Source organism: Homo sapiens, chromosome 6 (assembly GCF_000001405.40).
Source record: "Homo sapiens chromosome 6, GRCh38.p14 Primary Assembly".
NCBI lineage: Eukaryota > Metazoa > Chordata > Mammalia > Primates > Hominidae > Homo > Homo sapiens.
In genome coordinates, this window is record NC_000006.12 from 164402652 (window position 1) to 164416226 (window position 13575).

At 38.5% G+C, this 13575-nt stretch overlaps 1 long non-coding RNA gene across 1 annotated transcript; it reads right to left on the minus strand.

Moving 5' to 3' along the window:
* Positions 1–3932: 3932 nt before the first annotated feature.
* Positions 3933–12022, minus strand: LOC105379712 (uncharacterized). The gene is made up of 3 exons (XR_001744457.2): positions 11933–12022; positions 5486–5665; positions 3933–3994 (listed from the first exon to the last, which is right to left on the minus strand). It is a non-coding gene; the product is annotated as an uncharacterized LOC105379712 (long non-coding RNA).
* Positions 12023–13575: the final 1553 nt, after the last annotated feature.

The following is a 13575-nucleotide window of genomic DNA, read 5'->3' on the forward strand; positions in this document are numbered from 1 at the left end:
GTTGCCCAGGCTAGTCTCCAACTCCTAGGCTCAAGCCATCTGCTCACTTCAGCCTCCCAAAATGCTAGGATTACAGGAGTGAGCCATTGTACCTGGACTTGCCTATTCCTTTAATCAATTTTTTCATGAATCATGAAACTTTGTTTTTAGATGCATGCACATTCAGGATTATAATAAATTCTATATTTTTAAAATTATGCAATGGTAATTTTTTTCCTGATAATATTTCGTGGTCTGATGTCAACTTAAAGCTACATTTATTAGGTTAGTATTTGCATGGTATGCATTTTCCTAGACTTTTAATTTTAGCCTATGTCTTTATATTTAAAGTAAGTTTCTTTTAGACACATGAGTATTGCTTTTTAATCCAATTTGACAATCTTTATCTATTAGTTGTGTTTAAATTATTCACAAATGAATATTTATATATTTTTATTAAGATATATTACCTTACTCTTTTCTATTTTCTATGTTCTTTGTTTTTATATTTCTGTCTTAATTTGATTCAATTGATCATCTTTTATAATTACTTTTTTCTTCTATATTAACTTGTTTTGTATGTCTTTTTGTAAAATGTATCTCATGACTGCCTTGAGGTTGATAATATAGATTTTTAACTAATAAAATTCTACCTTCAAATCGTTTTTTACTGTTTCATATATGCCTCATTATATAGTTTTCTCTCATCTTTTGTGTTATGATTGTCTTATATTTTAGTTTTAAATCTGCTTTAAACACACAATACCTAATGATAGCTATGTATTTAGTTTGGGTAGCGAAATACCTTTTAGAACAAGTGAAACATTAAAATAATAAAATAAAAAATTAACCTCTATTTATTACATTTTCAACACTTTTTTTTGCATAAATCCAAAGCTCACTCCGGTATTACAGTGTTTTTTCAAAACATTCTTTTAATATATTAGCAGTGTACGTCTGTGGGAAATTCATTATCTTGATTTTTAAATTCTGAGAAAGTCTTCATTTTCCTTTATTGTTGAGGAACATTTTTGCTGAGTATAGAATTATATGTTGACTTGGTTTTTCTTTTACTACTTAAAAATTATCACTCAATTACTTTCTGGATTTCATGGTTTCTTTTTTTTTTTTTTTTTTTTTTTTTTTTTGAGATGAAGTCTTGCTCTGTCACCCAGGCTGGAGTGCAGTGGTGTGATCTCGGCTCACTGCAAGCTCTGCCTCCTGGGTTCACGCCATTCTCCTGCCTCAGCCTCCTGAGTAGCTGGGACTACAGGTGCCCGCCACCAAGCCTGGCTAAGTTTTTGTATTTTTAGTAGAGACGGGGTTTCACCATGTTAGCCAGGATGGTCTTGATTTCCTGACCTCGTGATCCATCCACCTCGGCCTCCCAAAGTGCTGGGATTACAGGTGTGAGCCACTGCCCCCGGCCTTCATGGTTTCTTTTAAGTAGTATCCTATAATTTGTTCCTCTTTATGTAATGTGTCTCTTTTGTCATTTTTGTCTTCAGAAATTTTTCTTTGTGTTTAATTTTCAGAAACACAATATTCATAAAATATAATATTTCTGAATATATCGTTCCTGGGTGGGATATTATTTTGTTTATTTATTTGTTTTTTGTTTATTTGGTGTTTATCTTACTTTGTGTTCTCTGGTATTCGTGGTTCTATAGATTGATGCCTGCCGTTAATTTTGGTGCTTTCATAGATAGACAGATAGATAGATAGATAGATAGATTTGTATTGAGATATGTTACCTTGCTTACTGTTTTCTATTTTCTATGTTGTTTTATTTTTATATTTCTGTCTTCTTTGGTTTCAATTGATTATTTTTTTTGAATAATTACTTTTTTCTTCTATAAGAACTTAATTTTTATACCTTTTAAAAAATATATTTCCTGGTTTCCTTGAGGTTGTTAACATATGTTTTTAACTAATAAAATTCTATCTTCAAATTATATTTTACTACTTCATATATAGTGTGTAGACTATCTATCTATCTATGTGTCTATCTGTCTATCATCTATCTGTTCTCTCTATTTTAAGATTTCAGTTAACCATTTATTGAGTCATTCCATATTGTCCCACAATTTTTATATGCTATGTAATTTTTTCTATCCTTTCTAACCTTTAAAATTGAGTTTGGGTAAATTGTATTCATCTATTTCAAGTTCACTGACTTTTTTTTTTCTCATTTTTACTAATGTCATAAATTTATTTAATATAGTTGCTGCCTTAGCATCCATTTTGAGGCCTGACATGTTACTTGAAACTCAGTCATACCCCATCAACTTTGGTCTAGTTTAAACTTCCCTCCCTTTGTTTTCCATGCAGTCTGTTTGTTCCTTATCTCACTGACACAAAACCCAACACACCCCAAAGCTGCTGACTATGATCAAGCATGATGCTCAACACCAGGGTTATGTAAATTAGTTTCCTCCTTCATTAACGTTTTCCTTAAATTACCCAATTCACAACTGCTGCTGGAAAGCCTAAGGGAAAACACCCATGGACCTTAATACAGACACAGTCCCATAGGTCCTCTCTCTCTCTGGCTCTCACTCATTTTCTGTCTCCTCACTCACTGGCTGAGCTCTCTGCCAGCCTCAGCCTTTCTATTGGCCGCCTGTCAGTACTCCTACCTCTCTGAGACCCACGAGTAATAAATTTTGTCTGCTTCATGCATTTTGATTTTACTTTCTCATTGTGTCTCACGTGACACACACTCTGAACCTAACTCTCTCATCAGAGCTCTCTTAGAGAGTGCCTATCTTGGTTTATGGTTGTCTTCAAGAGAGAGACCTCAAGACAAAATACTGCTACAGTTCCTGACACTATAAAAATTGTAACACTGGAGTCTATGATCTTATCAAAGATACTCTTCCTTTATGTTATTGTTTTTCTCTCCAACATTTGCATTTAGTTTCTTTTAATAATATTCATGTCTCTGCTGAAATTTTTCATCTGATCTTGCATTTTATTCACCTTTTCCACTAGAAACTTTAAGACATTAATTATAGTTATCTTACAGTACCTATCAAATAGTTCCAACATGATTGTGTTATTTGAGTCTGGCTTTGTTGATTGCTTTGTCTTTTGGAATTTTTTGTCCATTTGTTTGCCTTTTAAAATTTTAATGACTCATTTTATTGTTACTTCTTTTAGAAGATGAACATTCCCGTGTAGAAACAGATAAATATACTTTGTATTAAAAATGGGTGCTCTTTTTCTTCTACTATTCCTTCAGTGTGTGGAATTTGGATTAATATAATTGGAAATTTGGCGGAGTTTGAGAATTTTTATTGTTTTGTTTACTCTCAGTACATCAGAGGTATCTAAACTAAATGGTAGCTATTTAGTTTAGATACTAAATGCAGGAGGCTGGGAGTACTCTTGGCTTGCCTCTCTTGGCATGGATACATTACAACATGAACTTGGGCAAGAGTGATCAGGATCCCTGTAGTTGTAGCATTTGATGGCCAAGGTAGGGCTTCCATTCCATAAGTAGAAACTGGGTGAAAGAGAGGACTAAACTTTCCCAGGACTTAGACTCAACAACAGGATGTGGGGAAAGGATAAGAGATGCTACTGTCCTGCTCTTCCTAGGAAGAAAGCCCTTCACATGAGTACTGGGAGGACAGGCAACCCTGTATTTTTGGATATAGCATTCTGGAGTGGAGTCTCTGCCTTGTGGGACTGGGAGTGAGGAGCAATGAAGCTGTCTTTGTTCACACAGTCTCTTATCTTTCTTACCAAAATCTCATAGACATTCTTGAGTAGATATTTGCCCTTAGGACCACTTCCAGAGGCATTAAATGGTTGTGTGTGTGTGTGTGTGTATGTATGTTTTATGCTTTCTACCAGCTTCACTAGGGAGTTAGTCATTGTAGCTCCCTAACGCTGTTATACCAGGAGTTGATACCCCCAGAAGTTCTTCTTGGGCTGGTCATAATTCCTGATATGAGTATTTTGACTTACTGTCAGAAAATCAGTGTTCTGGCTGTTAACATTCTGGGATCTGAGAGGAAGAAGACAAAAAAGATTGTTGTCGTCATTTAAAATTGTCAGCATTCCAAATGTAAACATTCATGAACTACCCTTCTTTCAATGTGACACTTCCGTCTCCAACCGTCGCAGAGACTCTCTGTTTTGCTGTCACCCATACACAGTGTTTTCTTAGTTGTGTGGGATTTGGAAAAGGTTTTGAACAAGTTCTTAAAAGCATTTTCAAAAAATACAACTTTTATCTCTGAAATTCACTTTTAATTCCCAAGGCACTTGAGCCCACTAATTTGTGTGTTTTTATGGGGTGGGGAGTATTCATTTACAGTGTAAATTAGATGACTTTTTAGCTTTTCCCAAGGCCAGTTTTTATTTTCCTTCCTGGCTCTGTTATTTCAGTTGCAACTCATAAACTTGTGTTCCAGGTTTCAAAACTAGGTTCTTTCTGTTTTTATAGATTGATGGCTTAAAATATATACTTCTTGTTATTTTAGAGGTTTTGGGAAATATATATATGTTTTAAGCCCATAATCTTTAATATAAAATCTATAATTTATTTAGCTGCTGTCACTGTGCTTATTTTTAAATTTAATCAAATAAAATAACAAACATAAAATAGACATAAAGTTGTTAAAAACATTATTAAAACTGTATAAAAATATGATTTACTTTTCTCTTCAAACTGCATTATTTTCTTGATGGACATCTATATTTTGTTTATATAAATTAAACACTTTCTGTTTAGTTAAACATGGAAAACAAATTAAAGGGCCAATTTTTAAAAATATTAATCTTATTTAAAATTTGAAAATACTTAAAATTTATTGCAATTTATTTGCTCCTTTTTTGGAATTTAACTCTAATTATTGGAAACTAGGACTGCTATACTATGCAGTGGATTCTGTTATTTTAATTATCATATCACATAAATAACTAATTTTGCGTGTAAATTTTGGGCAGCTCACTTTGTGAGCTGTATCATATTTAAAAACTTATGAGAAATAGATCAAAGCCCTGATTTTTACAACTGTATATAAATGATTCTATCCTGGGAAATTAAATAAAAATAAAGTATTCCCCAAATATCTGACAGTAATTGAATCAAATACACCAAACCTTAAATCCAATCTTTAAAATAGATGAACCTCTTTCTCACTGCAAAAGAGAGCTAAACAATGGACCACTCAGCCTCCTTCTTCTCCAAAGGAATGCAGGCACTAATGAGAAAATTCAATGGCACACACTTTATCAATAGTTTCAACATCTAATTTTTTTCTGTATTTCTTTTTGGCAAGGGACAATTACCAGAAAATAATAGTTTTCGGACATTTTTCAAAGCCTTTAGTTAATTAACTTAGACTTCTCCATTTGGAATTCAATTGTAGTCATTACAAGTGGTGCCCACTACTCATGAAAAACAGACTGATTAAAAGATGAGCTATCTGCTGTAATATAAAAATGGCCTGCACGTTGCATATCTAGTAATTTTTCCATTCCTTTGAATTACCAATATCACTGGAAGATCTTCTTATAGGACACTGAAAATGCTCTTTCCATGTCTTCTAATATCATCACAGGAGTTTTCATTTTCTTCTTTGCAATTGTACAGTTGCTTCACGGAAGGTCATCATCTTCAGTTGAAATGCCATACTCAAAGAAGACTTTCCACAAGATCATGAAGAAACATCTAAAAAAGAATGGCAGCACTCAGACCGTGTGTTTCAAGGTCCACGCTAGCACAGATTAATGAACCCTAGAATTACATAATAAAAGAGAGAGATCCTCAGAGATACCCTGATTTTCGTCTTTTATTTGATGAGAAAGGAGTTGAAAGCCCAGGTAGTTAAGTGCACTTTCTGACGTCACTCAGCCTGTCTGTAAAAAGGTGTTCCAAATTATTGCCTGGTCTCTGTCCTCTCAACATACAGCTTTTCAAAAGCCATATTCTATGATTCTCAACAGATTAGAAATCTGTTGAGACTTGCCAAATCTGTATGACTTGCCAAAAATAGGAACAGGTGAAAATATTCTAAAAATGCTCTCATTAATAAAGTTAATTAACTATAATGCTCTGGACCTTCAGAGTTTTAAAGCTAGAAAACTGCTTTTTAAAAAAATTTCTGAGCAGTTTCTGCCTTCTGGTTCATAGATTGGCATTTTACTTTAAGGAGGAGAGTCTTTTTGTTCTGCAAAGTCTGGATTGGTCCCTTTTGGCTGTGACAATTTAAGGATGTTAAATTTGTTAGGAGCCTGATGCTTATAAACTATCAGGGCATAGGGTAAGTGGACCTCCAGCCCAGTGTTCTTATTTCCTTTCACATACTTGGGAGCAATGAGCTCTTGTAGGGTCAGAGTGATGGTGACAGTGATGTCATCCACTTGTGGTTAAAAGTTGTCGGGACATGTCTGAGGGCCCTAGAGGAAAGACGCCCTAAGGGAAAGTGGAGTCTGAATTTGGACTTCCATCTCAGGCAAGTAGAAACTGGATCTTTGCACTTCTGTCTTGCTGGTGCCGGACCCCAGGTTTTTCAGCCACCTCTTTGTGGTGTTTGGACATGTCCCAGAGAAAATGCTGTATGCAAGTGTGCTGAAGTCGCCTGTGAGCACCAAACATGGTGGAACTGATTCCTGTCGCTTTGCTGTGGGGTGCTCTTGACCGAACATGAACTTGAAAGGAACATGATCTACTGAGTGAACGGTCAGCATCTGCAGCAGTGGTCAAAGAACAGGGAGGTCTTGTCAGCAAGACCCATTAGCTGGCCAGACCCTGTCTAAGGAAAACACAGGACATCATGGCTCTCCTGGCACCAGAGCCCACAGTCAGCGTCCTGAGAGTGCTAGAAGTGATTGAGGAAGCCAGCGCTGGGCTTGCTGAGTCAGCAATGTAGGAGTTCTCCACCAGCCCACTTCACTGAGAGCCTTCAATTGGTGCTTAAAAATGAATTCTTGAACACATAGAGGCAGTCCTTGGAATTTCAGGGAGGAGAAGCCCAGAAAAGAAAAAAAAAATTGGCTTCTAGTTCATTTATAAGATGGAAACTATTATCAGAATATGTTGTGTTTTCAGAAAGAAGTGACTGTTTCTTTTTTCCCCCTGGCTGGATGAAGCCTGGGATGCATGTTCTGCAGCACAATGCAACTTCTTTCATCATAGCTTTTCCATGGCAGCATTACCACAGCAAGCGCACATGCTTCCCCAGAGTACATGAAACACTGTGTGCTTTGGCACTGATAGCTGTAAAACCTGGAAATTTGGAAGAAATTGGAAAACAAAACAATTACTGAGCACCTGCCTCATGCTAGTTATTGTTCTGTGTGCGTGGGACACGAGTGCAGGAGAGACAGCAGAGCCCCGTGGTGGAGTAGATTGCGGTTTTTCCTCATCCACATTGGCTGTCCTTCCCTAGGGACGAACCATCCGTTTCCCTTCAGTCTCTTCAGGGAGTGGTTCATGTGACCTTTGATCCATGGCATCTGAAGTCACAGTAGCGTATGTCAAGATTGAGCCCCCACTAGCCTGGATCTCAGAGTGACTTTGATGAGCAAAGTCTCCCTGTTTGATTCCTGCAGGAAAAGGAACCCTGAGTAGGGAGCTGCTGAGATGTCCGTGCTAGTCTGCACAGCCGCTCTGGGCTGATACACTCCCAAAGCAGAGATGACATTTTAGTTAGAACAGACACAACAAGTAAGAAAAGTAAAAGGCAGATATGAATTTAAAAGAAGCAGATCAAGGTAAGGGGCTTAGGAATGAGACAGGAGGGGAGAGGAGAGTACAATTTCAAATAAAGTGACAACTATGGTAGATCTCTGTGAGGAAGTCACATTCAAGAAAAACAGTATTTCTTTTAGGCTTTAAATTGAACTTTTGTTTTCCCTCCAAAATTGTTGTTAACAACATCACATTTCAGTACACTAGGTAGTCTATATGTTTTCTTATATTTGGCTATTCTTTTCATCCTAGTCAAACACACATTGAACATTTTTAACTACTCTGAAGGTGCAAGACACTGGTGATACCACGATGGATGAGACAGACAGGAATTCTGGGCTCATAGCTTAGGATCGGTTGCTGGTACAGCTTCCTTCATGGGGGCTTCCCCCAGCAGGCTGGCTGGGTCCTGTTTCTAATCTCTACTCTCTTAAGGAGGCGCTTCTGGCAGGCTATGTCCTCATCGGCATCTGGTTCTCAGGAATTAATTTTTGATTGCATAAAACCATCCCATAGTGGCTACACAGCCTTTGTCTGGTCTTGCTCTAGCGCCGGTGCACCTGGGTACAGGACCCACTTTGTCTTTTGGTTCTATCTCAATCAGCCAAATATTTCAAACCAGGTCTTTGACATCTGCTCTGCAATTAGTGACTGCTCACTTTCATATTCATAGCTAACTTAGCCTACCCCAAACTATATGGAAATAGCATTCCATTCTTCCAGAACTAAACTTCATTCTTATTTCAAGTATGCACTCAGCTTGGTGGCTGGAGCATAATTTTGATTCGGTCCCTTTTCTTGGGGTTTTGTCTAATCTCTGGAGACTGAAGGAGTCGTTTTCCTGTTTCCCAGGCACACTGGGACCCCAGGAATCACCCAGGGATCTTCCAGGCTTGATCACTTAGTCATGGGCTACAAACACAGCTATCTTCCGGACAGGGAGAGAGAGAGGCCGAGACAACGTGTGAGAAAGTAGGAGCAGGTAAGAATGAGTTGTGGAGGGGTCAGAGTCACCTGGGAAGTACAGACTGAAGGGATTGAAATCCAACATTTCTATAAACCCTACTGGTTACATAAAACATCCCCTCAGACTAGATTTGTACCAGGGACTGAAGCCAGGCATGCTGGGACCTTGTGACAACGGAGCCATTTCTACTCTGGGGTCTTGCCACGAGTTCAGACTCTACTTGAGGAAGGGCCCCCGGTTCCCTCTGTTGTGGGATTTTTTGCCTGCTCCAGGGCTTCCCTCACTGCCCTCCCTCCCCCCAGCGTGGGCAGGAGCACCAGGTGCTGAGCCCGTTTCTCAGGGTATGCAGCGTCCACAGATTTCTCACATCCCCCTTCCCAGTCCGGAGGACCCCATGCCATTTCTCTTGTGTGTCTGTGACTCCGGCCACCAGGAGCGGGGCAGCCTTGCTCTGAGCTGCACACCTGCTCCTAAGGCCTGCCTCTGCAGCCCCAAACCTGAGCTCCAGTCGCATCTCCATTATGTGCTCTGCGTTTTTCTCTGCATCTTCCTTCTCCCAAGGAAATGAATGTAGAATCCCCAACCCCAGTTTTTACAAATTGTAAGACAAGCATCACAGGTGATACTGAGTGGCTTTAGGAGGAATTCAGGCTCCATGCATTAAATGGTGTTGAATCACATTGTGATAAAGTGATTCGCTTTTTAATTCTCTATCACTCCTGATTAGGCCAAAGAGAAATATTCTGCTAGGAAACCCACGCTCATCAAATCACCCGAGTACACTCACTATCTCTCTCTTTAACATAGAGTAGGGGCACAGACTCAGACTTTCACTGAGAATAGTATTTAGGTACAAATTAATAGCCTCCTTTTAAAAATTTCATGTAGTTTGTGCTTACCTTCTACTTAAAACAGAGTGAGATGCACCTTCCCTTTTAGTTTTGTGTTGTTAAGTTTCCTTTTGAAATAATTTTTCATGAAATAAATGAATTAAGAGAAAAAAAGAAAGCAATGAAAGCATGCAGGTTCTTCACTGAGATGGTGAAAATCAAGTAGGAGGGGAGGAAGTAACTAAAGTTTATGAAATATTGCCTTGTCTGCCTGCCTTGGGAAGGGAATTGGTACAAGGAAATTCAGGAGACCACCATTAACATTTCCAAATAGCTTCTTTCTATGGGAATGAAAGCAAATTTTCTTTCTTTGGAAAGAAAATATTTCAAATTGTTTGTTAAGACTTTTTCAAAAAATCCATTCTTGCCGTTCAAAAATACTTCTACTTGTCCTTTGCCAGGTCCCATCCAATTACTTTCAGAGACTTAACATTTGCTTCAAATGCACCTCATGAACTCACTCATAATCCACTTCTAACCCACTCCTTCATCATTGAGAAAGCCAACCAGGTCAGACATGGGCTCCCCAAACCTGAAATTCAGCTGTCCCATCTTATGAGTAAGTACATCTAAGTGAGAGTGCCCTGCGGGCATTTGGATGTATGATCTGGAACTAAGTTATTACCATAAAGGCATAATTAACATCACCTTGGTCATGGAGGGCGTGGTGAAAGGGAACAGTGAAGGAAAGAAGATGAAACCCTATAGTAAAAAAAAATAGTATGAAGGGACAGCTGAAGGCTGGGTTAATGAAATATTGCCTTGGCTGCCTGCCTTGGGAAGGGAGGTGGTACAAGGTTTTAGACAAAAGGAAAGGGAAAGGATCCTTTTCCTCCATTATTTTGATTCCATTTTTGCCAAAACATTGTTTCATGAACTATTCTCTTTTTAGTTGAGATCCTCATCCTTTCTTGGTCTCCTGGCTATTTTCCAGCAGCCAAGAATGAAAACACCTCTTCAGATCGCTATTGTCCTTGGTGGCTGTGGGGATCTCTGGTGGTGGTCACCCCCAAAGGATAATGACCAGTTTCCCCACTGTCCTGCTCGGTCAAACATCTTAGAAGATTGGTTTGCATCTACTCTCTCCCCTTGCTGCAACCGGGATTCCCTCCTCCCCTCCCTCCACTGAAATTCCTTTTTCTAGAGCCACCTGTGATCTCCTAATTGCCAGTTGAATGCACGTTTTTATTTCTCCCTTCTTGATCTCATTGATTTTCTGTTCTTCTGGCGCTGGTTGCGCCCCTTCTTTCTCACATCTGCTGCTCCATGCTATCCTGCTCCCACTTTCTCCTCATCCCTTCCATGGAAGCCTTCAGCTGTCTCTTCATACTATTTTTTTACCATAGGGTTTTATCTTCTTTCTTTCACTGTTCCCTTTCACCATGCCCTCCAAGATCAAGGTGATATTAATTATGCCTTTATGGTAATTACTTAGTTTCAGATCATACATCCAAATGCCCATGGAGCACACTCACTTAGATGTACTTACTCGTAAGCATGGCAAACACAACATATTTAAATAGGTCTCTCCATCATTCCCTTTATGCCAGATTCTTCTAACCCATTTCTTATTTACTTTGATCACACTGGAACCCTCAATATCTGCAGCAAAAAACTGAGAGAATTTTTGTTCAGGAAGCACGGGGGATGGGACAATCTCCAGTCTCTTCCTCCAGTAAAAACATCAAACTCCTCCCTCTAAGAGTAGTTTTTGTTTTTAAATAACGATAAGGTGGTTGCCCTCTTTCTTGTTACGTTTTAGACATGATTTCCTTCACACATTAACACAGCATCATTTACATTGAACCAGATATTACATTCTGTGACTATAATATTTCCCCAATGTATTCTCCTTTTCCCATGCTTATTGTCACCCTTCCTAGCTCAGTCACAAATAGTCTTTCTCCTAACTGCATTAATAGAGTCTGACCCAGTCTTCTCTTCCATCCTCCTTTGTACACACCCTTCACATACAAACAGCAACATAGGGCCCTCCATTCTGCTGCTCCCTGATGCTAGAAGCATTATTTACTCACAGGACGAAGCCTAAACCCCAGGTACAACACAGAAGATGCCACGACTCATCTCTTCCTTCCATGCCAGCCTCATATTTTGAGACTCTCTGGTTTACCAATATGCTTCCCAATACCATACTGGTTTTCGATCCCTGCATCCCTGTCCCCACCACTGTCATCATCGGCATTTCCCTCCACTGCCCCAATAACTTTTCCTCCTTTTTGAAAAATAAACTTGGCTATTACTCCTCCAATAACACTCCCCCAACCCCAGCACAACAGCCCCCAGCAGGCAGGGCTCGCAATCTTTGAGGTCCCATTGGATCTTGTGCCTAGTTTCATCAGAGCACTCCTGCACGCTGTGGAAAATCACCTGTGTACACTCCTGTTTCCCCATCAGACTGTGTCCTCCTCAAGGAGAAGTACTCTTTTATCCTGAGTCCTTAGCGAGGTGTTTCATACATGCTAGGCGCTCAATAACTTCATAAATATTCCTTCACACCATTGTATCATTTGATAACAATGAGGCATTGTTACATAATTAGGGATGTTGAGATAATATTTCTCAGAATTGTTAATAATATTAACATACTAATAAGGCCCTATGGCCACTGTCATAATTATTCCAGTCTGTGACTGTGCAAACCCAGCCAGGGTGTGAAGGAATGGGCGTGGCTGTGTGGTACACCAAACTGTATCCCGGCCAGGAGCTGGATTTGGCCCACAGGCCATAGTTTACAAACTCCCCATTTAGTAGATCACAAGGTACAAATATGAATCCCTGCTTCGCTTTATTGAGGTATAATTGACAAATAAAGTTTGTACATATTTAAGATGTGCAATATAATGTTTTGGTGAGTTAGACTTTTTGAAAGAGAAATTCATATGTTTCTTTTTTTGTTGACTTAACATAAGCTAGCATCTTATTTTTCATTTTTTCAAATTGGTTAACTTCTGTATTTTGGAAATAAGGTTACATGCTCTTTTAGTATAGTTCTAGACAGAACTATGAGTTTAAGCGATTACTATAAAGATCACTGTCTTTTGTTTTAAGGGCAATCACAAACTGGAACTCATTAAAAATGAATAAAAATTAAAGTCATGTATGTTAGGAAAATACAATTCCAGTTTTGACTGATAATCATTTTTCCTCTGGGAACCTAATGGCTGCAAAGGAAATGAGAGATAAGCAAATTCCAATATTTTCATAACTTGGAAAAGCAAATACTTCACATGGATCAACTGCTACTAAATTTAATAAGAAACATCCAGTAACCCTCCCTGTTAATTTAGTAGAACATCACCTTCCACAAATAAACACTAAGTCTGTTCTGTGTGTTTTTTTCCTGCTTACTTTGCCATGAAAAGGGAAAGAAAACAATAATAATAGTTCAAAAAACTTTAATCTCTAGACATGCCACCCTATTCTGCTACTTATATGTATCGTTTTTCATTTAATGTCTTTTCTGTTTTCCTTTCTGTCTGAGAAAAGATTGTTTACCTGCCAAACTCTGGGATTGGAGACCTGTGCTTCTTCAACTATTTCACAGAATATATGTGATAAGACACAGCACTTTTCCAGATCAAAAAGCAGCCTATGGGGACTTTTCTATAGAGTGTTAGAGGCCACTTAATAACTCTTCTTAGAGCAGCCCTCACACACTGTCTTCAAATAATTTCCTTTCATTTTTCCAAGAAGATACCATCTACGACATTTCTTTTTCCATGTGCAGTGTTTAGAGGCATTGTGCATGTTGTTCACCATCAATGACCTTCCAATTAGAATTTGTCACTCTCTTTCCCCTGGAATCTGCCGGTTTAAGAATATCTTCTTTCTCAAGAGTGAAAGTCTCATGCCGACAGACAATAGAGCCGCACAACATGCATTTTTGTTCCTCTCCGAGCCTGGACATTTAAGTCATCTATTTTTTCCTGTCTCTAGGGCTTTTTTTTCCTTCCTAATCTGCTAACAATAACTATATTCATATTTTCTCTAGTATGTGCTGCAATATCTTT